Source organism: Homo sapiens, chromosome 3 (genome assembly GCF_000001405.40).
Source record: "Homo sapiens chromosome 3, GRCh38.p14 Primary Assembly".
In the NCBI taxonomy this organism is placed as follows: domain Eukaryota; kingdom Metazoa; phylum Chordata; class Mammalia; order Primates; family Hominidae; genus Homo; species Homo sapiens.
In genome coordinates, this window is record NC_000003.12 from 43,604,743 (window position 1) to 43,627,334 (window position 22,592).

General features: G+C 40.9%; 1 protein-coding gene across 25 annotated transcripts in view, besides 3 other annotated features; it reads right to left on the bottom strand.

The window, feature by feature from the left end:
* The window catches only part of ANO10 (anoctamin 10), a 325,747-nt gene that overhangs the window by 238,895 nt on the left and 64,260 nt on the right, over positions 1-22,592 (bottom strand). For 20 of the 25 annotated variants that reach the window (NM_001204833.3, NM_001204832.3, NM_001204834.3 and 17 more), the window contains exons 1-2: positions 17,167-17,269; positions 972-1,121 (exon numbers count right to left, since the gene is read on the bottom strand). In NM_001204833.3, the coding sequence (NP_001191762.1) occupies positions 972-1,110 (139 nt within the window). In that variant the 5' untranslated portion in view covers positions 1,111-1,121; positions 17,167-17,269. Of the gene's footprint in view, positions 1-971; positions 1,122-17,030; positions 17,270-22,592 lie in introns of those variants that run through there. The other 5 variants (NM_001346466.2, NM_001346467.2, XM_047448429.1 and 2 more) reach the window with 2 other exon arrangements.
* Positions 16,983-17,482: a silencer, noted in NCBI's record as "silent region_14256". NCBI's record gives its function as "represses an Ori minimal core promoter by ATAC-STARR-seq in GM12878 lymphoblastoid cells {active_cell/tissue: GM12878}" and the evidence as "EXISTENCE:reporter gene assay evidence [ECO:0000049][PMID:35858748]".
* Positions 17,538-18,190: an enhancer, noted in NCBI's record as "H3K27ac-H3K4me1 hESC enhancer chr3:43663772-43664424 (GRCh37/hg19 assembly coordinates)". NCBI's record gives its function as "activates a minimal SCP1, AML or CMV promoter by ChIP-STARR-seq in naive H9 embryonic stem cells {active_cell/tissue: H9 hESC(naive)}" and the evidence as "EXISTENCE:reporter gene assay evidence [ECO:0000049][PMID:30033119]".
* Positions 18,191-18,843: an enhancer, noted in NCBI's record as "H3K27ac-H3K4me1 hESC enhancer chr3:43664425-43665077 (GRCh37/hg19 assembly coordinates)". NCBI's record gives its function as "activates a minimal SCP1, AML or CMV promoter by ChIP-STARR-seq in naive H9 embryonic stem cells {active_cell/tissue: H9 hESC(naive)}" and the evidence as "EXISTENCE:reporter gene assay evidence [ECO:0000049][PMID:30033119]".

A 22,592-nucleotide genomic window follows, 5' to 3' on the forward strand; every position in this document is an offset into this window, starting at 1 on the left:
AGATGGCTGGGAATACACTGGAATCTTTCACACTGAAACACTACATAGTTCCTAAATCACAAAAATTTTAAAGAACAGACTTAAGTTCAGTGAAATGCTCACATTTCAGCAAGCAAATACTCCTGCTTTTAAGTTTCCTTCTGGTTCAACTGTTTGAAAAAAATTTTAATTCCACTTTGATTCCAATTTTATTCTTAAGAAATAACTTCAGTTTATAGTAACAGTTTTTTTTTTAAAGAGTCTAAGTCTAGTTCAGTGTTCAGAGACTGTGCAGACTAAGGTGTTGTTTTGTATAGTTTACAAAATACTTGCTCATGTAAAACACTAAAACACCCGCTGCTTTCTCACCCAGACTGGGAACCCATGTCACCTGTCAAGAGAAAGCTAAACCTTGGCATCTTAAGTCATTCCTTGCCACTGAAGAAAGTACTGCCATAGTGTCATCTAACCCTTTCCTTTCCTTTTACAGTAAGTATACACGATTCATTTGTTCATGCCATGCACTGCTTTGTGACAGCTCTTCCATGTACTTTTCTTTATTTTGAATTTCTTTCTACCCTGATGGTAACAACTTTGCAGGAAGAGACCATATTTATCTCTCCCTTAGCACCATAACTGGCACATAAAGAGCATACAATAGATACTTGTCCATTCATTTGACAAATATTTTTTAAGCACCTACTATGCACCAAACAGTGTGGTAGGCATACTATTTAGAGCTGTGAAGAAAACCACTCATGCTGCTTTCAGTTTAATGGGAACTTAAAGCCTCCTGTTGATTTAGGACCTCCTTTCAAGTCCCAGATAGATAATAAAAGGCAAAAAATTTAACATTAGTAAATAAAATATATCAACGAAAATTATAAAACACATTTGCAAATACATTTTTAGTGACTGAGCATACAGTGTGGGAGGCTGAGCATACAGTGTGGGAGGCCAGACTAAGTCTGAGCAGTGACTATTTTACTCACCTCCATCTTTTTTTTTAGCTATAATTCTGTTTTTCAGCCATTCTTTGGTTTCTTCTTTGACATCCTGAGCAAGTTCTATGACCACCAAAGGTGTGAAAGAACTCTCAGAAGTATCCAAAGCTGATAAGGTCACTTTCATCTTTGACAAATCTGCGGAAAATTAAAATAAAGAGTGAAAATGGGTTGTTATTATGGCAAAGAGAAATATGCTATAGACTTCATTTTCTCCCAATTATACCTAATTCTGGCTTCCAAGATAAAAGCAAATTTCTCGTGATTCAGATGGGTTATATGACAGACTCAACCAATGGTTCAAAGTACATGTGTGAGCCAAGCTTTGGAAAGAACGCCATCCTTTTCTATAAGCAGCTCAGAATGCAGCAGAATAGACATTTGTGTAAATGAAGGATAACGATGTAAAATGTGCTCTCACACAAGCGGAATAAGAAAGTATTTTCAAAGAATGTGACATCTGAACAGGATTCAGAGGAATGAGTAGCAGTTTGCCAGATACACAATGAGAGGTATCCTAAGTAGACAAAATTATATTTCCCTAGAAAATAATGATGAAAAAACAGCCAAGAGGCTTAGAGAAATACAAATGTTTAGGTATGGTGGGAACATTAACTTTGTGTAGGAGGAAAGAAGGGTGGGAATGAGCTGGTATCCAACTAGGGTCCCAGATTACAAAGGAAATGGGCTTTGTCTAACATACAATGGGAGTCACCAATTCATTATGAGCAGAGAACTGATGTAGTCGGTAGGGAGCTATTACAGATCACAAAGAGTCAGCCTAGAGTGTGGGAGGCCAGTTAGGGGGCCATTAAAGGAGTCTAGAAAAAGCTGATACTGGTCTGAACAATGACAATGAAGAGGAAAGGATAGCTCGGGGTTAAATCTATAGAAGCAGACAACTGGACTGAATATAACTACTAAAAAAAAAAAAGACAGAAAAAGAAAACTGTTAGTGGGTAATGGGTAGTCAAGGTGTAATTATATGGAACTCTCTACAGTACCCATCTCAGCTAGGCAGAACCACTACTATACATTTCCTCCAAAACTACACATCCTCAAAGTGACACATTAACTATGAACACAAGCCAAGACTTCCACTTCCAGGACAGCAGATTAAAGGGTTCAAACTCTTCTGCTGAAGACAACTAGACAATATACACCCACACTCACATACATATATATGTGCATATATATGTGACATCAGAAGTGGAAAATTCCACACGTAAGTACTTAGCACAAAGTTGATCTCACGCACAAAATTATTTAAAATATTATATAAAATTACTTTTAGGCTATGTGTACAAAGTGCATTTGAAACATAAATTTCATGTTTAGCCTTGGGTCCCATTCCCAAGAGATCTCATTATATAAATGCAAATATTCCAAAATGTGAAAAAATCCAAAATGTGAAACACTATTGGTCCCAGCATTTTGGATAAAGAATATGTGACCTGTATTTTTAAAAATTTGTGAATAACAAAAAGCCAACTAAGCTGGACATGGTGGCTTACACCTGTAATCCCAGCTATTTTGGAGACTGAGCCTGGAGGATCACTTGAGCCCAGGAGTTCAAGACCAGCCTGGGCAACATAGCAAGACCCTGTCTAAAAAAAAAAAACAAAACAAACAAACAAAAAAAAAACCAAGGCAATGGGAAATAATGGAGTCCAGAAAGCTAAGCACTTGCAACCAGTTTCTCTGGGGCCTCTGCTGAGAGGGTGAGACACTAAGCAGGGCTTCTGTTGGCCATGGGAGGCTAGGGGACAAAACATGTAATTAGTAGAGAACCCACCAAGGAAGACAGTCAGATAAAATCCCCACTTTGAACTGGGATCTGAAAAGGCTACATTCTAAACATAATAGTGAAGGAGAATTAGATCACCCCGATAGGAACTAAATTCTAGGTTTGCATCATCTCAATCAGGAGAAAAGTTACTACGTATGAAAATGAAAAATAGTAACAAGCAATAGAAACAAACACATAATAGATCCAAATAATGTAAGTGAAAGGACTTTAAAATAATGATCATATATTCAAAGAACTAAAAGACAAGATTGATAATTTTGGCAAAGAACTGAAAATTATTTTTAATGGAAATTCTAGAATTTAAAAATATGAGTCAAAATTAAGAACCCAAGGAAGGCTTTATAGAAAATCAGACAAAGCTAAAGATAAAAACCATTGAATGATAACACAGGCACAAAGAAAATATCTACAATTGAGCCCTGAGGACAAAAAATGAAGAAAACACGTAAAAAGAGTAAAAGACAAGGAACTACAAGGAACTAAAAGGGGGAGGTATTAGAGTACAAACAATATCTGAAGAGACTGACCAAGAATTTCCCAAAGCTGACAAAATATACCAAGGCACAGATTTAAGAATCTCTATATACCTCCATCAAGATAAATAAAAAGAAAAAGCACAGTAAAACATCAGAAAAGCCAAGAGAGAGAAAATTCTTAAAGCAGAAAAATAAAGACAAAGTACCTTGAAGGGCAATAATTAGACTGAAAGAGTATCTTCAGTGTCCCAAGAGAATATTATGGCTACTCCAAAATTATGTACCTGGTCAAAATATGCCTCAAGAATAAAAGACAAATAAAGCCATTTTCAAACATACAAAAATTGACCCTGAGACAGGGTCTCACTCTTTTGCCCAGGCTGGAGTACAGTAGTAGCATGTGCCACCATTCCCAGCTAATTTTTGTATTTTTTGTAGAGACAGGGTTTTGCCATGTTGCCCAGGCTCATCTCGAACTCTTGGGCTCGAGTGATCCTTTAGCCTTGGCCTCCCCAAATTGCTGGGACTTCAGCTTCAGGTATAAGCCACTGCACATGGCCTTTGTTTTGTTTTGTTTTGTTTTTAGACAGGGTCTTGCTCTGTCACCCAGGCTAGTCTGGAGTACAGCGGTGTGATCGTGGCTCACTGCAGCCTCAAACTCTGGGGCCCAAGCAATCCTCCCACTTCAACCTTCCAAGTAGCTGGGACCACAGGTGCGTGCCATGACACCCAGCTAATTTTTTCATTTTTGTAGAGATGGGGTCTCCCTATGTTGTCCAGGCTGGTCTCAAACTACTGAGCTCAAGCAGTTCTCCCTCCTCAGCTTCCCAAAGTGCTGGGATTGCAGGTGTGAGCCATGTGCCTGGCCAAGAGTGTTAAGACAGAAGGAAATGATTGCAAATGATCTGGCATCTGGAACATAGCAATCTTATATTTAGTGAACAGACAGCTTTTGTAATATAGGAACTCCCCTACCGCCTTTTAAATTTAATTTCCTCTTTACTAAATTTCTCTTTTGTTGAATTTCTCACTACATATAAGACACTGTATTGGTACCTAAATACACAATTCTATGTAATCTTCCTAAAGTCCTATAATTTATACTTTAAAAACCAAGAGGAAAATTGAATGAAGAAGTTACTTTGTTAAGCTCATAGTAAGCAAGAAGTTCGTTTCCCATGATACACAGCTTAAAACTAGAGAAAATAGAGTCATTAGAGATATCCAAATTCTGTATGTTTTTTCCTACTAAATGAAATCTTCATTTTGAATTATCTACCATACAACTCTGTTGAAGATGAGCTAAACAGTTCAAGATAAAATGACAAAGTGAAACCATATTACAGAATCTTCTGACCTAAAGCAAAATTAAATGTATAAAACAAGTAAAACAGTGCCCAAATATTAATAACAAAAAATAGCAGCCAAAAAGTAAACCTCAAGCCAAAATCATGACCAAGTGAAGACAACACCAACAATGAACTGATAACAAAGGATCCTTCTAACAATTTGGAGAATTCCAACCATTTACGGTCATACATCACTTAATGACAAAGACAGTTCTGAGAAATGGGCAGTTTCACTGTTGTGGAAACATCATAGAGTGTACTCATACAAACCTAGATGGCATAACCTATTACATACCTAGGCTATACAGTATAGGTATGTATAGGTTTGTAGCCTTATTACTCCAAGGCCACAAACCTATACAGCATGTTACTGCACTGAATCCTGTAGGCAATTGTAACACAATAATATGTATTTGTATATCTAAACATAGAAAAAGTACAGTGAAAATACAGTATAAAATATTTAAAAATGAATACACCTGTATAGGGTATTTACCATGAATGGAGCTTGCAGGACTGGAAGTTGCTCTGGGTGAGTCAGTGAGTGAGTGGTTAGTGAATGTGAAGGCCTAAGACATTATTGTATACTACTGTAGACTTTATAAAACACTGTACATTTAGGCTATACTAAATATATTTTAAAAAGTTTTCTTCACTTTATAAACTTTTTGATTTTTTTGACTTCTGTAATAACACAGTAAGATACAAACACATTGTACAGCTGTACAAAAATATTTTATTTATATATTTATTCTAGAAGCCATTTTCTATTTAAATTTTTTAAACTTTTTTTTAAAAACTAAGACACAAATACATTAACCTAGATCTACACAGGGTCAGGATCATCAATATCACTGTCTTCCACCTCCACGTCTTGTCTCACAGAAAGGTCTTCAGAGGCAGTAACACACATGGAGCTGTCATCTCCTATAACAATGCCTTCTTCTGGAATACCTCCTGAAGGACCTGCCTGAGGCTGTTTTATGGTTAACTTTTTTTTCAATATAAGGAGGAGTACACTCTAAAATAATGATTAAGAGTATAGTATAGTAAATACATAAACCAGTAAAAGTGGGTTCATTACCATTGTCAGGTATTATGTACTATACATAATTATATGTGCTACTTTTATGCAACTGGCAGCGCAGTAGGTTTGTTTACACCGGCATCACCACAAACACATGAATACTGTGTTACACTACGATGTCAGCAGGTGACACGAATTTCTCAGCTCTGTTATAATTTTATGGAACCAACATATATGCAGTCTGTTGTTGACCAAAATGTCATTATCCAATACATGACTGTACATGCATGTGTCTGCAAATTAATCTTTATCACACTGTCAGGCACAGAAAAACAGCTAGATATTTTAGTAGATTGCTGAATTAGACTTCAATGAACTCTAGAAGTATACCAGTTTTATTTTATGAATACTAAATATCAGTAATCCTCAATAATTTATTTAATGGGCAATTAATAAGTAGTCCTTTCCAATCTGTAAAAATGAAAGCCTATGAAATTGTATCCTATTGACTGAAATGAACCCCAAAAGAACCTGCATTTTTAGGATAACTTCAGGAGAGTATCAAGAGAATCTTCAAGACCTTGTCTAAGGTTTCTTGTCTAGTTCTCTACCCAATCCTTTTTCCTTGGTTCCTGTGGCAGAAATTTGAGCTATCCTCTGAAATCCACTCTCCCTTTCTTTGTCTAAGTACACGGCTAGGCTACATTTTCCACACAGTTGGAGTTAGGTGAGCATGAGACTAAATTCGAGACAATAGTATGTGAGCAGAAGTACTCACAACTCCAGATCAAGGCTTTTAAGGGAGTGCTTCTATCTCTCCTCAATGTTTTATTTCCCTTTCCATGGGCCACTGAGATACTGGGGAGATACAAGACAGGGAAGTATGGCTTCCTAAATCAGAAGGGAGTTGAGCCACCTACCAATCCAGAATACCTGCCTTGAACAGTTACATGAGTGAGAAATCTATTATGTTTGAGCCTATTACATATGTCAGGATTTAAACAATACAGCAGTCTAGCTTACTCTGATTAATAGTATACAATCCCTCTGTCTTGTTTTGTTCTAGTGATTTGGACTTTGGTTAATTATGTCTAACTATTAGAATTGATTAAGAGCTTGATCTCTGGAGACAGACAGACATAAATTCAAATTCAATTCATGACCTCTCAGTTATGTGACCTTATGCAATTTATTTATCCTCTTCTGTAAAGTGGGATTAATAAAAGTACATGCCACAGTGAATGGTGTGAAAGGAAATGAGAGACATGTACAGCACAGTGCTTGCCACATAGCAGGCATGCAACAAATGGTAACCTTTTTATTACTGGCTACTAGTATAAATAGAATATTAAAACTCTGGAATTAAACTCTCTTCAGAGAAATTCTAGTCAACTCTGATCAAGTTTCCAGCTCTAACCAGCAAGAACAAATATGATAAGGCTGATAGTAAAATAAGTAGCCATAGGGTAGAGGTAGTCTACCTAGTGTGTCAAAGATATTCTTGTTGGAATAGCCCAAACTTGCTGTTAAAAAATATTAATAACACTTTTAGATGCACAAAAAACAAAACACTTCCATTTAAATTCAAAGTTATCATAGACTCTTTCCTTGGTTTCCAGAATGCTTTCTTACCTTGATTCTCTCCCTACCTCTAGAATCTCCTTTTCCTTCTGGCTTCCCCACCACTATCTGCAAAAATATGCCCAAATCATTCCTCCTTTAAGTGCAGTGGAATAAAGAAAATTAAATATTTTATATATATATATATATATATATATATATATATATATATATATATGCCCAAGAAACAATCTCAAGACTTTTGCCTTCTTTCTGTATTATTTCTCCCTCTAAACCCTCTTTCTTTCTCTTAAATTCAAACTCTAACCTGTGTTGCTGTCTTTGCAATCTGTCTCTAGTTTTGTCTTCTAAGCTGAGCTCCCTCAGGAGTTTCCAACACTGTTATCTCACTAAAACTTGTCTCAATAAAACCAAAACTAAACATACACTTCTCCCCAGCCTCAGCTTCCTTCCCAGTTTCCCTGCCTTTCTCAGGGATACCACCTTCAGCTCTGTTACCAAGCTTGCAAAATAGTGGAGCCAAGCTGGAGACATACAAATGGAGTCAGTCACTTAAGGCTTAAAGGCCTTGCTCTAAAGTGTTTTTCAGGTGACCCTGTCTAACCCAGTGATTCTCAACCAGGGCAATTTTCAGACTTTGGACTTACTTATTCTAACTGTGCACTTCATACAAGCTTTAATGACTCCAAAGTATAAAGGTAAATCAAACTCAAGGGAACAATCACAAAGGAGTGGCCAACACTGCATAACATCTTTCTTTTCTTCAGTAGAAATCATAATCTTGCAGCAATCTGATTAAACAGATTCAGGATATCTGGCTTGAACCATTCAACTTTTTTTTTCCTCTAACAGAGCTTAGGTTTTGTCAGGGGCAAAAAAGGCCTTCTAAGTGAATGTTGGATTAAAATTATACTCCCGGCTGGGCACGGTGGCTCACGCCTATAATCCCAACACTTTGGGAGGCAGAGGTGGGTAGATCACCTGAGGTCAGGAGTTCGAGACCAGCCTGGCCAACATGGTGGAACCTTGTCTCTACTAAAAATACAAAAATTAGCCAGGCGTGGTGGCACACGCCTGTAATCCCAGCTACTCGGGAGGCTGAAGCAAGAGAATTGCTTGAACCTGGGAGGTGGAGGTTGCAGTGAGCCAAGGTCACACCACTGCACTCCAGCCTGGGTGACAGACAAAGCAAGACTCTGTCTCAAAAAAAAAAAAAATCAAGTTATACTCCAAATGTATCAGGAATGCTATTGAAAGATACCAGCCAAATCAATATTCAACATGCTAGGTTCAATGAAGGAAATCAGATCAAGACAAAATCTAGTGGTCACCTCCAAATAGCTAATAATGCAGTCAGAACACTTAATGCATAAAAATTTTGGACCAGGCAATGGGGGACACATGTTCTACAAAAGGAACAATGTGTAAAATCAGTGAAGCAAGAATAAAGACAGCATGGGAAAAGAACAATAAGAAGACTGGCCTGACCAGAGCAGAGGGGCTACATTTTATTAGATGCAGCCATTTAAGGATAACAAATGCTATAGTTTACATCTGATCCAATGGCCAGTACGTTCTTGTAGGTTTCTGAGCAGAGGATTTTGTGTCAGAGTAATACAAATCTCAGTAAGTAAATCTATTGGGCGAGAATATGGGTATACTTTGTGGTATTCTTTTAACTCTCCTGACTGAAATTTTTCATAATAAAAAGCTGGTGGGGGCGAATATTAACCTACTAGTAGAATACAGAGGCTGAGTTCATCACCTTCAAAATGGAAATATCAAATACAATAAACACTTATCATGTGCTTACTATGAGCCAGGCCATGAGAGTCAAAAGGTACAAAGGTAAATAAAGTCTACACCTTGCTTTTGAGGAGCCCTTAGTCTAGTAGCAGAAGCAAGCATGCATCAAATTATTCTAACACATGGGCTAAGTACAGTAGCAGGAACCCAAAAAGTAGGTGTAGCCTCAGGAGAGGGCACTGTCTGGGAAGGGATGATGGGAGCCACACAGCGTTCAACTTAGACTAGATACACAGAAAACCCCAAGGTTTCCAATCTTGGATATGGGAAGAATAACTATGCGTGAAAAAAATAGCAAAGTTGGAAAGAATGTCTAGTTTAAGGGAACAATAAAGTGTTCCGCAGAGTATCTGGGGACACGCATCAAAGGTCAACGTTTTTGAACATTTATGCATTGTTCAATGTGAGTAATAAAAGGACAACCTTATTCATAATAACCAGATCATAAAACAATTTTGCTGAGACACTAAAAGCAGGTTTCCATTCTAAACATGTATATGAGCACTATCTACAAACTCATATATTATTTGCTCACTGATTATTCTCATTTGAGATACTTTATGCCTTTCATTATGCAAGGCACAACCTTAACAGTATTTGCAATATGACAGACAAATTTCACTATCCCTGATATACAAAGAGTCCTTACAAATCAACAACAGAAAATAAAAAAACATAAAAATACAACTCATAAAAGAAATATGCCAAGACACATTTGAAAAGATGTCCAGAGTCACCAATTTTAAAAATGCAAAGTAACAATAAGATACTTTTCCCTTTTCAAATCAGCTGAAGCTAAAAAATGGAAAGAACCCAGTTTGGGGATAGGTGTAGAAAATCTACCATTTTCACGCATTGCTGACAGATGTCATAATTTGATATCACATTTCCAGAAAGCAGAGAGGCAGCAAGAAAAATAATATTAAACGTTCATACTCTTCAACATAACAATGCTATTTCTAAGAATTTATCCCAAATTCTTAGAAGAAAACTAAACTATATATATATATATATATATATATATATATAGGTTCATTACAGTTTTTTATGGAATTTATCTCAAAAAGATAATTAAGCCAAATATGCATGTAAAAGTTCATTACAGATTTTTATTTATGCATTTATGGCAAAAAACAACTTAATATTTCAATGTCCATCAACAAGAAATTGGCTAAAGTCTGGTACAAGAATACAATAGAACCATTAATACTGAGATACAGACCCAACTATATTTATTAACATGGAGAGATTTCCTGACACATTGTAAGGTAAAAAATGTAAAGTATGATCATATAAATATACATAATAAATAAACAGTAATATCAAAATAACACCAGCTATCATTTGCTAATGATTTACCACATGCAAATGTACACTGTAGCCCAGTGTACATTTTTATGTGAATTAATCCTCACCCCTTGAAGAAGAAACTTTAATGCTACCATTTTACCAAAGAGAAAACTTAGGTGAAAGAGATTAAATAGACTGTCCAATATCTTGCAGTAGCAAACAGGGGAGCTGGGACTCACAACCAGACAGCCTGACACCAAAGTCCACATCCTGAAGCATGTGTATATGCACACATCAAGCTATTGTGTGTGTGTGTGTCTGTTTACGTGAATAAAAGCTGCATCAATGGCTACTCAGATATATTTCTCCAAGTTGTTCTTCCTAGGTAGTAGCATTTGGGATAATTTTTATTTTATTATTTACTTTTTTTAATTTGATTTTTAATGAGTGGGTATTTTTTATAATCAGAAAAAAAGTGGCTCTATATTTGTAAAATAGTATAGAAGCCTCACATTTTCAACAGCAAATGTAAAATACACACTTCAGTTAAAGCCAAATTTCATATATATATGTGTATATATTTTTTGTTTTTTGTTTTTTTTTTCTTGAGACGGAGTCTCATTCTGCTGCCCAGGCTGGAGTGCAGTGGCGCAATCTCGGCTCACTGCAACCTCCGCCTCCTGGGTTCAAGCGATTCTCCTGCCTCAGCCTCCCGAGTAGCTGGGACTACAGGGGCATGCCACCACGCCCAGCTAAGTTTTTGTATTTTTAGTAGAGACAGGGTTTCACCGTGTTAGCCAGGATGGTCTCGATCTCCTGACCTTGTGATCCGCCCGCCTCGGCCTCCAAAAGTGCTGGGATTACAGGTGTGAGCCACCGCGCCCGGCTACCAAATGGCATTTTTTAACTATATGATACAAGATATTTTGCTTTTCTTCACCAGATTAAAAGCATGCCAACCTTATATAAAAGCTACCTAGATTTAAAATGTGGTTTGTTCTGAGGAAAGGTCACATACTCAACAGTATGTGAAATAAAAGGATCCGTACATAAGCATATCATCTTCCATCCCGCACCTATCCAGGAGACTGCAAAGCTTCAGAGAGCTGGACAATGATAGACTCTTTAAGAGGGGAAGGAATCTTAGAGATCAGTTAAGCCCTCGCTATCATGTTACTCAGAAAGCCCTCGCTATCATGTTACTCAGACCCAAAGTCACACCACCGGTGTGGCAGAAGCAGAACTGGAATCCAATGCTCTTTGAACAACACCATGCCATCAGAAGACAACCTTTTGTTTTTTTCTTTTTGTGAACTTACCAGCCAATAAAGTCAAAGCCCATATTATGCCCTCATCATCAAAAAATAACACTAGCCTTGCTACAATCATGCAGGTGCATGCTGCAGCTCAATAATAACCTCAAGACCAATACAAGTGCTGGCATTGCCTGGATTCTGCTTTAAGCAATGAGAATCATGTAGGTAGAGGGAAGACAGGCTGCTGGGCTTTTTTAGTGCAAGCTGGTAAGCCTAGCCCCTTTAAGGCTCCAGGACATAAGATGCTCTTGGAGCTTTGAACACTGCAGTGACACGGTCCACAGTAAGAACCAGCTCTGCTCCTCTTGTGCCCATTTTCAGTCACTCTACACTTGTGCCAGCCGTTATGCCACAGTGCACATACAGGCCAGCTTACTTAAGCTGTCTCTTCTTTCTGTCCCTGAAGTTCCATCCAGGGGTGCTCTCTGCTCAGGAAATGTCTGTCCCCATATGGTAATCCCACCTGGGTAGGTCCACTCCTCAGGGAATTGCCTGTATAGTAAAACCTCTGGGGATCCCCTCTCTTTGGGTTATTCCTGCCCCTCTCTGTGTTTTTTCATGCAGCAGGGTTATGGATGTGACAGACTTTCATCTTGCAGTTCCCTGGCCAGGCTTGCTCCAGTCTCTCTTCTCTAATTAGCTGGCTCAATGACGTAAATATCAAGTGTAAGGTGTAAAGCGGTGGAAACAAGAAGCCTCATGGCAGCCTTGGCCTAAACTGAGTTCTGGAATCTACTTTTACCAGAGGGTCTTAATGGGAACTTGCTCTACCATTACCAAGCATACGAGATGAAAAAATGGAAACAAAATACCAGACAGGGACATGAAGGCTTTAAGTCTTCCTGCAGGTGTAGCACAAACCTTATGGTTCCAGTTGGGGCCAATCTAAAAACAATGATTTGACCATACAGACTTCCTGGGCACCAGAGGGTAGAATGATTTCTGTATTGCAGCCAATATCCTCCTTTGATCGGGACTCTCAGCCAGGACAGCAGCCAGGCTGATTATAAGGCACAGAGCAGCCAGGTTCCACACAGACCCTGGGGCGTGGGATTATGAGACAGCGATCCCAAATTGTGTTCTTTATCATGTGTCGAATTGCACACAGGGTCAAAGAGAGACCTACAAATAAGTTAAATTCATGTGGCTTTTACATTAACAACTGGATCACTGGCCCACAAGAGGTAAAGTCTGACCATTGTGGTCAAGATGTAGAGAAACACACTGTGAGTTCACCATGGAGAGGTCAGGGGAGTGTGTGGAGAGTGGGGAGTTATTTTAACAAGGATCAGGAAAAGAATAATGGATTCTTTATTCTGGGGATTATTCTTTTCCTGAATTTGGGTAAAGAAAAAAAAAGTCAATGGAATTATCACAAACTCAAAGGTTAAGAAGGAAATGCATAACACTGTCTTCAGGAATCACCTTATTCCAGATTCAAAGAGAAACAGGAACGAAAAGTATTCTCAGTTATGAAGCAGATTAGGAAACACTTCAGTAAGAGAAAAATGAAGGACCGCACTGCTCAAGCTGGAAGATGAGAGGAATCTCCATAGGACAAAAGTTGCAATTTTAATGGCCAGGCTAAAAGAGGGCCAGGCCAACTCCAGAGGACCCGAGATGCAGAGACACTACTTACCTACAGGCAGGCAGTTAATGGTGAGAGCAATTGTGGGAGCCTCCCTCCTTGTACCTAGGGCAGCTGCCTTGGGGAGTTACACAGATGTAGACAGACGTGAGAATGGAGAATCAGCCCCGCATACACCCATCCTTACTATAACAGTTTCTCAGTAACACAGATAACTTAGGGAAGCTGGTGAGGACCACTCCCTGAGGGAACTCCATGCCCTTAAGATTCCACAGGAAGGTACAGGAGAGGTGAGACACAGGATACTGAAGACAGTCCTGCCACAACAGCCCAGGCCGGATTAGATGCTGCACTAACCTCTGCACACAATCACTCAACTGAGTCTAGCCATGGAAGCACCAGTGAGGAAAACAAGAATATTTCCTCCTCTCACTCATGCCTCCATCTACTCTCATTACCCCAGATACTGCCAAGAGTTTGCTTGTTTTGGCTAGAATAATGTCAGAAATATACTGTGGCATCTCAGTAGAAATGCTCTAGAGGCTGTGAGGTGGCCCTGGGCTGAAGAAGTTCCCAAGACACAGACCTTTAAAACTGGGACAAGTTGATCACACTTGGTAAAGAGTAAAGGCCATTACTCTTTCCTCCAAAAGACCCAGGGACTGGAGTCAGCATCTGGCACTCTGTTTTTGAAAGATTCCCACTGCCAATTCATAGACTAATAAAAGAGATAATAAGCATGGATTACTCAGATCATGCTTTCTAGTCTGTAACTCCCAGAAGATTTAGAAATGGCATATAAAAGTAATTAAAAGGCACCTTATTAGTTATACGTCTTTTTTTTTTTCTTTGAGGCAGAGTCTCGCTCTGTCGCCCAGGCTGGAGTGCAGTGGAGCAATCTCTGCTCACTGCAAGCTCCGCCTCCCGGGTTCACGCCATTCTCCTGCCTCAGCCTCCCGAGTAGCTGGAACTACAGGCATCCGCCACCATGCTCGGCTAATTTTTTTTTGTATTTTTAGTGGAGACGGGGTTTCACCGTGTTAGCCAAGATGGTCTTGATCTCCTGACCTCGTGATCCGCCTGCCTCGGCCTCCCAAAGTGCTGGGATTACAGGCGTGAGCCACCGTGCCCAGCTATGGTTATACATCTTAATCAAACAGTAGTCTATTCATATAGAAAAGGAAGATAAATATCCCCTTCTAAGGGATAGGTTTTGGATATGAATTCAGGGGAGGTGTGTGCTTTCTAGCAGGCCTGCTTCACTTTACAGGTCTGCACCAGGTCATCCTGTTTAGGAGGATGCTCAGGTTAAAAGAGGCTAAGGACATATGACGACTAAATACAGTGTAGGATCTCAGACTGGATCCTAAATATTAGTGGGACAATTAGTGAAATTTGAATAAGGTCTGTAGATTACACTAATAGAATTGTATCAATGTCAATTTTCTGGTTTCAACAATTGCACCATCGTCATCTAAGATGTTCACATCTGGGGAAGCTAGGTGAAGGGCATAAGGAAATTTGTACTATTTTTGCAACTTTTTGTAAATCTAAAATTATTTCAAAACAAGAAACTTTTTAAAAAGAGCCTCTTCCAGGGGCTGGGCACAGTAGCTGAGGCTTGTAATCCCAGCACTTTGGGAGTCCATGGGGGGTGGATCTATTGAGCTCAGGAGTTCAAGACCAGCCTGGGCAACATGGCGAAACCCTGTCTCTACAATAAATACAAAAAAAAAGAAAAAAAAAATTAGCTGGATACGGTGAAGCTCTCGCCTGTAGTCCCAGCTACCCAGGAGGCTGAGATGGGAGGATCACCTGACCCCAGAGGTCAAGGCTGCAGTGAGCTGTGACTGCACCACTGCACGCACTGCAGTTTGGGCAACAGAGTGAGACCTTGTCCAAAAAAAAAAAAAAAAAAAATCCTCTTCCACCCAAAATTCCGTAATTTCCTAACACATACACACAAAAACTCATACACATTAAAAATAACAGTTTTGGATTCACACATGACATGAGATTTATTGTGAGCTTTTAACCATTAAAACAAAGGTTTACTGCTTATAAAAACAGAAGGCTAGAGACAATTTAACTGACAGATGAGAAAAAGGCTTAGTACAGCTCTCATGCAAGCCATGACAAATATATCCATTTGAGGAACACTGATTTTTCACCTCCAAGCACAGTACTAGGCACATAACTAAAACTCTAATATTTAAAAAAAGAATGAATCCACATGATGAATGATTATACAAGCATTTTCAAAGATGTTTAAGAAGAATTTGATCCACAAAAATGCTAAGTGAGAAAATGTAAGGTGGAAAGAAAAAGCAAAAGTATGAAGTAATATAACAATATTACCCCAATTAGGTAACAATACTACCCTAATTTTGTGTACATTCATATACACAAAAATACAAAAATTAGGAAGAAATGCATCAAAATGTTATTACATGTGGCAAAACTACAGATTTTAATTTTCATCCTTATAATTTTCTCTGTCTTCCAAGTTGTCTACAATGAAAAAAGTTGGCCAGCACAGTGGCTCACGTCTGTAATCCCAGCACTTTGGGAGGCCGAGGTGGGAGGATTACCTGAGGTCAGGAGTTCAAGACCAGCCTGGCCAACATGGTGGAACCCCATCTCTACTAAAAACACAAAAATTAGCCGGGCATGGTGGCAGGCGCCTATAATCCCAGCTACTCGGGAGAATCGCTTGAACCCGAGAGGCGGAGGTTGCAGTGAGCAGACATTGTGCCACTGCACTCCAGCCTGAGCGACAGAGCAAGACTCCGTCTCAAAAAAAACAAAAAGAAAAAAGTTTCAGTGGGTTTAAGTGCATTTACACACTTCAATTTATCAAGACTTTTCTATGCCCTTCCATTATTTTAGATCTTTCAAATTTCATTCATCTGCAACTCTACGATTCTTTCAGCAACAGCTGTTCAGAACAGATGATTTACTTTCCATAGCGAATTTTAAACTGTTTATCATGCAGAATGGGCCCTTAGAAAACATCTAGTCCTCTAGATTTGTATGACTTTAAATTAAAAGTAGACACTACAAAGTGGATTTAACCGCTTTAAACCCCACAGGATTAGATTTAAACTCCGCAGGATTTAAGGCAATATGATACAACTGTGTCTTGAGTCTGAATAAACCTCAGCTGCACTTTTTAAGTCTGGGATCTCCATACACCGTCCTGCTGGAATATAAGGTTTTACAGAAGGCAGCGCACACCAATGCTGGTGCTGTGAAGGCACCCACAAAATCAGACGCTGCCTATAGGGGAGAACCCCATTCCATCCACGTTTCTCAGGTGTCCCAGGCACTAGCCAGACAGGTATCTATTATTTAAACTGTACAGTATGTCCCAGTCAAAAGCCTGGAAACTCAGTCACCTCGATGTGAGCATTATCCTGCAAGCCCGCTCCGGCCAAACCTGCTTGGAGACAGCCTAGTCCGCCCTGATCCCCGGACTGCCCGGGAAGCAAGAACCCCGGGACCCGCGAGCTGACCCTTCTAAAAACCACCCTTCACTCCGCTCCGCCGACCACCCCACTCACTGCCTCCTTCCCCAAAGCGCTGAGGCCCCCAACATCCTCCATCCTGACTTCACCAGCCCCAAATTTCCGCCTCACCGCCTTTCTCTCAGGACTCAAACCCTCGCCCCAGACCCATAATCCCCTCCACAAACCTCTCCCCTCCCCTGCGACCGCCGCTCCCCGCAACACCTTCACTCGTCCCTGCCCCCACAGCCCCCGCGCCCATCCTGGTCCCACTTCCCATCCCCAGGGGTGCTGGCACCGGGAGGCGGCCCGGGAACGCAGGGCGGCGACCAGGCGGAGCTCCTGGAGCCTGCAGCGGCCGGGGCTCTGTGGCTGCAAGGGGCCGGGCTCTGCTGCGGACAGCTGGGGGGTCCGAGGTGCCCTCCCCGACTCACCAGCCGCCGCAGCGCTCCACGTCTTCGGAGGCGGGTCCGAGAGCCGGCGAGAACCGGAGGCCGGGCGAAAGAGTGCTCGGTGCGGGGGGCGGGCCAGGCCAGTGGGGCGGGCGCCGCCGAGCGCTGGGCGTGGCGGACGCGGCGGGGCCTAGATGCGGTCACACGCAGGGGGGCGGGGCCGCGGCGGGAGAGGCGGGGCCTCACTGGGCGGTAGCTCCGGGAGGGGCGGAACTGCGGTGGGAGGGGCGGGGCCTCACTGGGCGATCGTAGTGGACGAGAACCTAGACTGGAACCGGTCCGAAGAAAAAAAGGCAGCCCTCATTGGGCTGTCGCCTGGAACAGGAGACCAGGCCGGGAGAAAGGGAGGGGCGTGCCTAACGTACTGTACCACCCATCGAAATCCGGACGGCAGCGGGAGAGGCGCGGCCGAGAAGGCAGAGGCCTGGTTGGGCTGTCACTCCGAGCCGGGGCGGCATGTGGCTGGGCTCTCCAACCGCGAGCGGTCGGGGCAGGGGAAAGGAATACGCCCCTTCACATTTCCCTCTTCCATCTCTTAAAGACCAGAACCTAATTTTCTGGTCACTTTCAGGTATAAGAACAAGTCTCATTTTAACTGTAGCTCACTTTCAAGTTGTGAAAAACGCAGATCCTTTTATAATTAAAACCTAACATCCAACCACAGCCAAATCCCAAAACCCTTGCTCCTCCTAGAAATCGCCAGACACCTTTCCACCTCCAGGCTCAGAGTCTGCCCCAGCCATTCCTTCTGCCCAGAAAGCTCTTCCCTCGGTTGGCTGCTTGGCTCACTTCCTCACCTCCCTCAGTGTTTGCTGGGCTCTCACTTTCTCCCTGAGGCCCTTTCTGACCATCCTACTTAATACCTGTTCTCATCTGCTCCTCACCCCACCATTTCCTTACCTGCTCTCCTATTTCTTCTGTCCACCACACTTTTTGACTTTTTGTTGTTGTTGTTTTGAGATAGAGCCTCGCAATGTCACCCAGGCTGGAGTGCAGTGGCGCAGTCTCGGCTCACTGCAACCTCCGCCTCCCGGGTTCAAGCGATTCTCCTGCCTCAGCCTCCTGAGTAGCTGGGATTACAGGCGCGCACCATCATGCCCAGCTAATTTTTGTATTTTTTGTAGAGACAGGGTTTCACTATGTTGGCCAGGCTGGTCTAGAACTCCTGACCTCAGGTGATCCGCCTGCCTCGGTTTCCCAAAGTGCTGGGATTACAGGCGTGAGCCACCGCGCCCTGCCGGCTTTAAGTGTTTTTAGTTACCCAGGGTCTACCACAGTCTGAAAATAGGTGAGGCCAGAACAATAAGATATTTGGAGAGAGAGAGAGAGACCATATTCACCTTTTATTACAGTCTATTTTTATAATTGTTCTATTTTATTATTATTCATTGTTGTTAATCCCTTACTGTACCTAATTTATAAATGAAACTTTATCATAGTATGTATGTATGTGTAGGAAAAAACATAGTATACATAGAGTTTTATACTATCCTCAGTTTCAAGCATCCACTGTGGATCTTGGAATGTATCTCCCACAGATAATGGAGGATTACCAGCCCCAATGTTTAGAACAGTGTTAGGTCCATAGCAGACAAGCAATAATTCTGAAATGAAAAATTTAAAAAATGAATGAACACTTTCTGCCTCCATACATCCAGCTTTGGCCAGATCAATGCCTCAACAAACTGCAGTGCGGAGAAGGCTGGTCTGTTCTTTACTCCCCACCCTTCTCTGGGTCTTCCAGGTTCCAGGCAGGAGGCAGGGAAACTAAAAGAAAGGAGCAGAAGACTCGTTACTTGGTAGGAGCAGTTTGTCATTCTTTCTAGTCCTCCGATGCTATCATGGCAGCTCACAACATTATTAACCAGTTTTTGTGCAGCTATCTTTTTGTAGGTCCTGTGTGGTTATGTTCAGAAGTTCTCTCTTTCTTCTGAAAATCAGGACAAATTATTTATGAACTTCAATAAGTTTAGACATGAATTACTCCTTAGACTTTTGTTTTTAAATTGTACTCTTCTTATCTTCTCATCCTAGAACGCACGGCCATCCTCCATATAATTTCATTTTCTTATATTTATGTGGCTGGAGGAATTAGGAAGAAAAATGAATGGAAATATAAAAGTCATTTTCTCTTGTATAATCTTATTTCATCTCCACAATTAACAAATTAAAACTTTCTGTTAAGTATAGCAAATTGTTGGACAGCATAAATGGCAAACCTGAGTTAATGACATAGATCCCTATATAGTAGTCCCCCTTAGCCACATTTCAATACCCCCACTGGATGCCTGAAACCACAGATAGTACTGAACCCTGTATATATTATGTTTTTTCGACCTGATAGCCTAGATGGCTGCTAAGTGACCAAAAGGTATGTAGCATTGATATAGTTTGGATCTGTGTCCTCACTTAAATCTCATGCTGAATTGTAATCTCCAGTATTGGGGGTGGGGCCTGGTGCAAGGTGATTGGATCATGGGGGTAGATTTCTCATGAATGGTTTAGCACCATCCCCTTGGTGCTGTCCTCGAAATAGTGAGAGACTTTTCACAAGATCTGGCTGTTTAAAAGTGTGTGGCATCTTGCTCTCTCTCTGTTGCTCCTGCTCTCGCCATGTGATATGCCTGCTCCCCCTTTGCTGTCTGCCATGATTTTAAGTTTCCTGAGGCCTTCCCAGAAGCCAAGCAGATGCCAGCATCATGCTTCCTGTACAGCCTGAAAAACCAGAGCCAATTAAACCTCTTTGCTTTATAAATTACCCAGTCTCAGTTATTTCTTTATAGCAATATGAGAATGGACTAATACAAGGACCTACAGTATGGACACACCAGACAAAGAGATGATTCACATCGCAGGAGGGATGGAGTAGGACAGGCGGAGATTTCATCACGATACTCAGAATGGCACACAATTTAAAACTTATGCAATGTTTATTTCTGGAATTTTCCATGCAATGTTTTCTGACCTCAGTTGACTGAAGGTAATTGAAACCATGGAAAGAGAAACTGTGGCTAAGGAGAACTACTGTATCAATTACCTATGACTGCATGTCAAACAATTACACAGAATTAGGGATTCCTTTCTCCACTTGTCTCTCTTTGGGTATTTCCTCCATGTTCTCTCTGGCTTCCAAGAGTCCCTTTTCCCAACTCCTCTGTCCAGAAGGACAGGTTTTCTCTCAGGTGACTGTGTCACCATACCACTGCAGGGCAGCTCCCAGACAGGGAATGGCTTCAGGGAAACGGAGGGAGAGAAAAAAAGGAATCAGCAGTTTCCACCACTTTCTCTAGCTTGCAGCAGACTTTTTTCCTGGTCCTGTGGCTACATGGTCCGGCTTCTCTCGGACATTTTGCTGATAGTGTCTGGTTGACAATTCCCTATTCATCTGTCCTCAGATCAAAGCCAAGAGGTAAAGGAGAAAAAAATAAAAACAAGACTCTCACTACTACTCTATCTGTCTTTCTTCAGGCTTTGAGTTCCCTGCCATCATGATCCACCTGCTATTATTTACTTTTCAGAGTCCTTGGGTAGTTGTTCTTTACATTTTATCTAGAGGTTTTAGTAGTGATCAATCAGTAGCAGACATGGGCAGCAGTGGACTTACTCTATTTTGGTCAGAAATGGAACTCATCAATCTAGTAGATGAAAAAACATTTTAAGTCGTATTTTTCTTATGAAGAGTGAGTTCGAGAGCATCTTCTCAGGTTAAAGAGACATTTGTCTTTCATTTTCTGTGAATTATCTATTTATTTGTATTGTCTAATTTTCTACTATGTATAGAAACTCTTTATATAATAGAACAGTCCTTTTTCTTAGATATGAATGTCAAAACTTTTCCTCAGTTTGTCACGTCCTTTGATTTATCTTATGCTACTTTGTTTTTGTTTTTGTTTATTGGCCGTGAAAACTTCTATTTCTAACTGGTCAATTTTACCAGGCTTTTCTTTTACTACGTACTACTTCTGGGTTGCATCGTACTTAGAAAGACCTCCACCTCTCTCTCTCTTCAATTACTTTTTTTTTTTTTTAACGGGTCTAGCTCTGTTCCCCAGGCTAGAGTGCAGTGGCATGATCTAGGCTCACTGCAACTTCCGCCTCACGGGTTCAAATGCTTCTCCTGCCTCAGCCTCCCAAGAAGCTGGGACTACAGGCATAAGCCACCACACCCAACTAATTTTTGTATCTTTATTAGAGACAGGGTTTCACCATGTTGGTCAGGCTGGTCTCGAACTCTTGACCTCAAGTGACCCACCCACCTCGGCCTCTCAAAGGGCTGGGATTACAGGCATGAGCCACCATGCCTGGCCCAATTACTTTTTAAATTCTTCCATGGTTTCTTGTTTACATCTCATGATGTTATGTTCTTCACTTTTTTTTTTTTTTTTTGAGACTGAGTCTCGCTGTATCGCCCAGGCTGGAGTACAGTGGTGTACTCCTGGCTCACTGCAACCTCTGCCTCCCAGGTTCAAGCAATTCTCATGCATGCCTCAGCCTCCCGAGTAGCTGGGATTACAGGCATGTGCCACCACACCCGGCTAATTTTTGTATTTTTTTAGTAGAGACTGTGTTTCACCATGTTGGCCAGGCTGCTTTTGAACTCCTGACCTCAAGTGATCTGCCCACCTTGGCCTCCCAAAGTGCTGGGATTACAGGCATGAGCCACCATGCCCAGCCATGTTCTTTACTTTTAAAATTTGACCAATCAGGAATTTATTTTGATTTGAGGTAAATGGAGTGGATCCAACTTTATATCTTGATAGCTACACATTTTTCCAACCCCATTTCATTAATAATCCGTATTTCCCCTACTGATTTTAAATGCCACCATTATCATATACTAAATTTCCTTCCCTATTTATGAACTTTCTATTCTGTCTTATTAATCTGTTGGTTTATCTCTGTACCAGAATCATAAGATTTTAATTTTTGAATCTTCATAATACTTCATTCTCTCTCTTTAAACTCTACAATACAATCAGAAAAGTCAACCCACCCACCCACCCAGCAGTTCCTGTATTTCTCATTCCCTTCATAACCACCTACAATAGCAGCCATTGAAGACTCACTGTCAGTAAATTGTTCATCCAAGGTGACCATGTACTTTCACTGTTCATCCAAGGTGATAATTTACATAATTTTTCTTCTGTATGCTTAGATTCATAGCATCCCATTTTCCACTAAGTGACAAGGCCACCATCCACCATTGTCTTCAAACCCAGCCAGTACCAGATTCCCAGTTTCAGGGTTTGATTTCTGCAACCACTTCCAATACCAAACTTGTCAGTCAAATTTCAGTACAGAAAACAGAAATCACTGTGTGTATTTTACACAGGAAGATATTTAATAAAGAGAACTAAGTTCTTACCAAATCGGTGGAAGGCCTGGAGAAACAGCTCTGGGCTGGACAT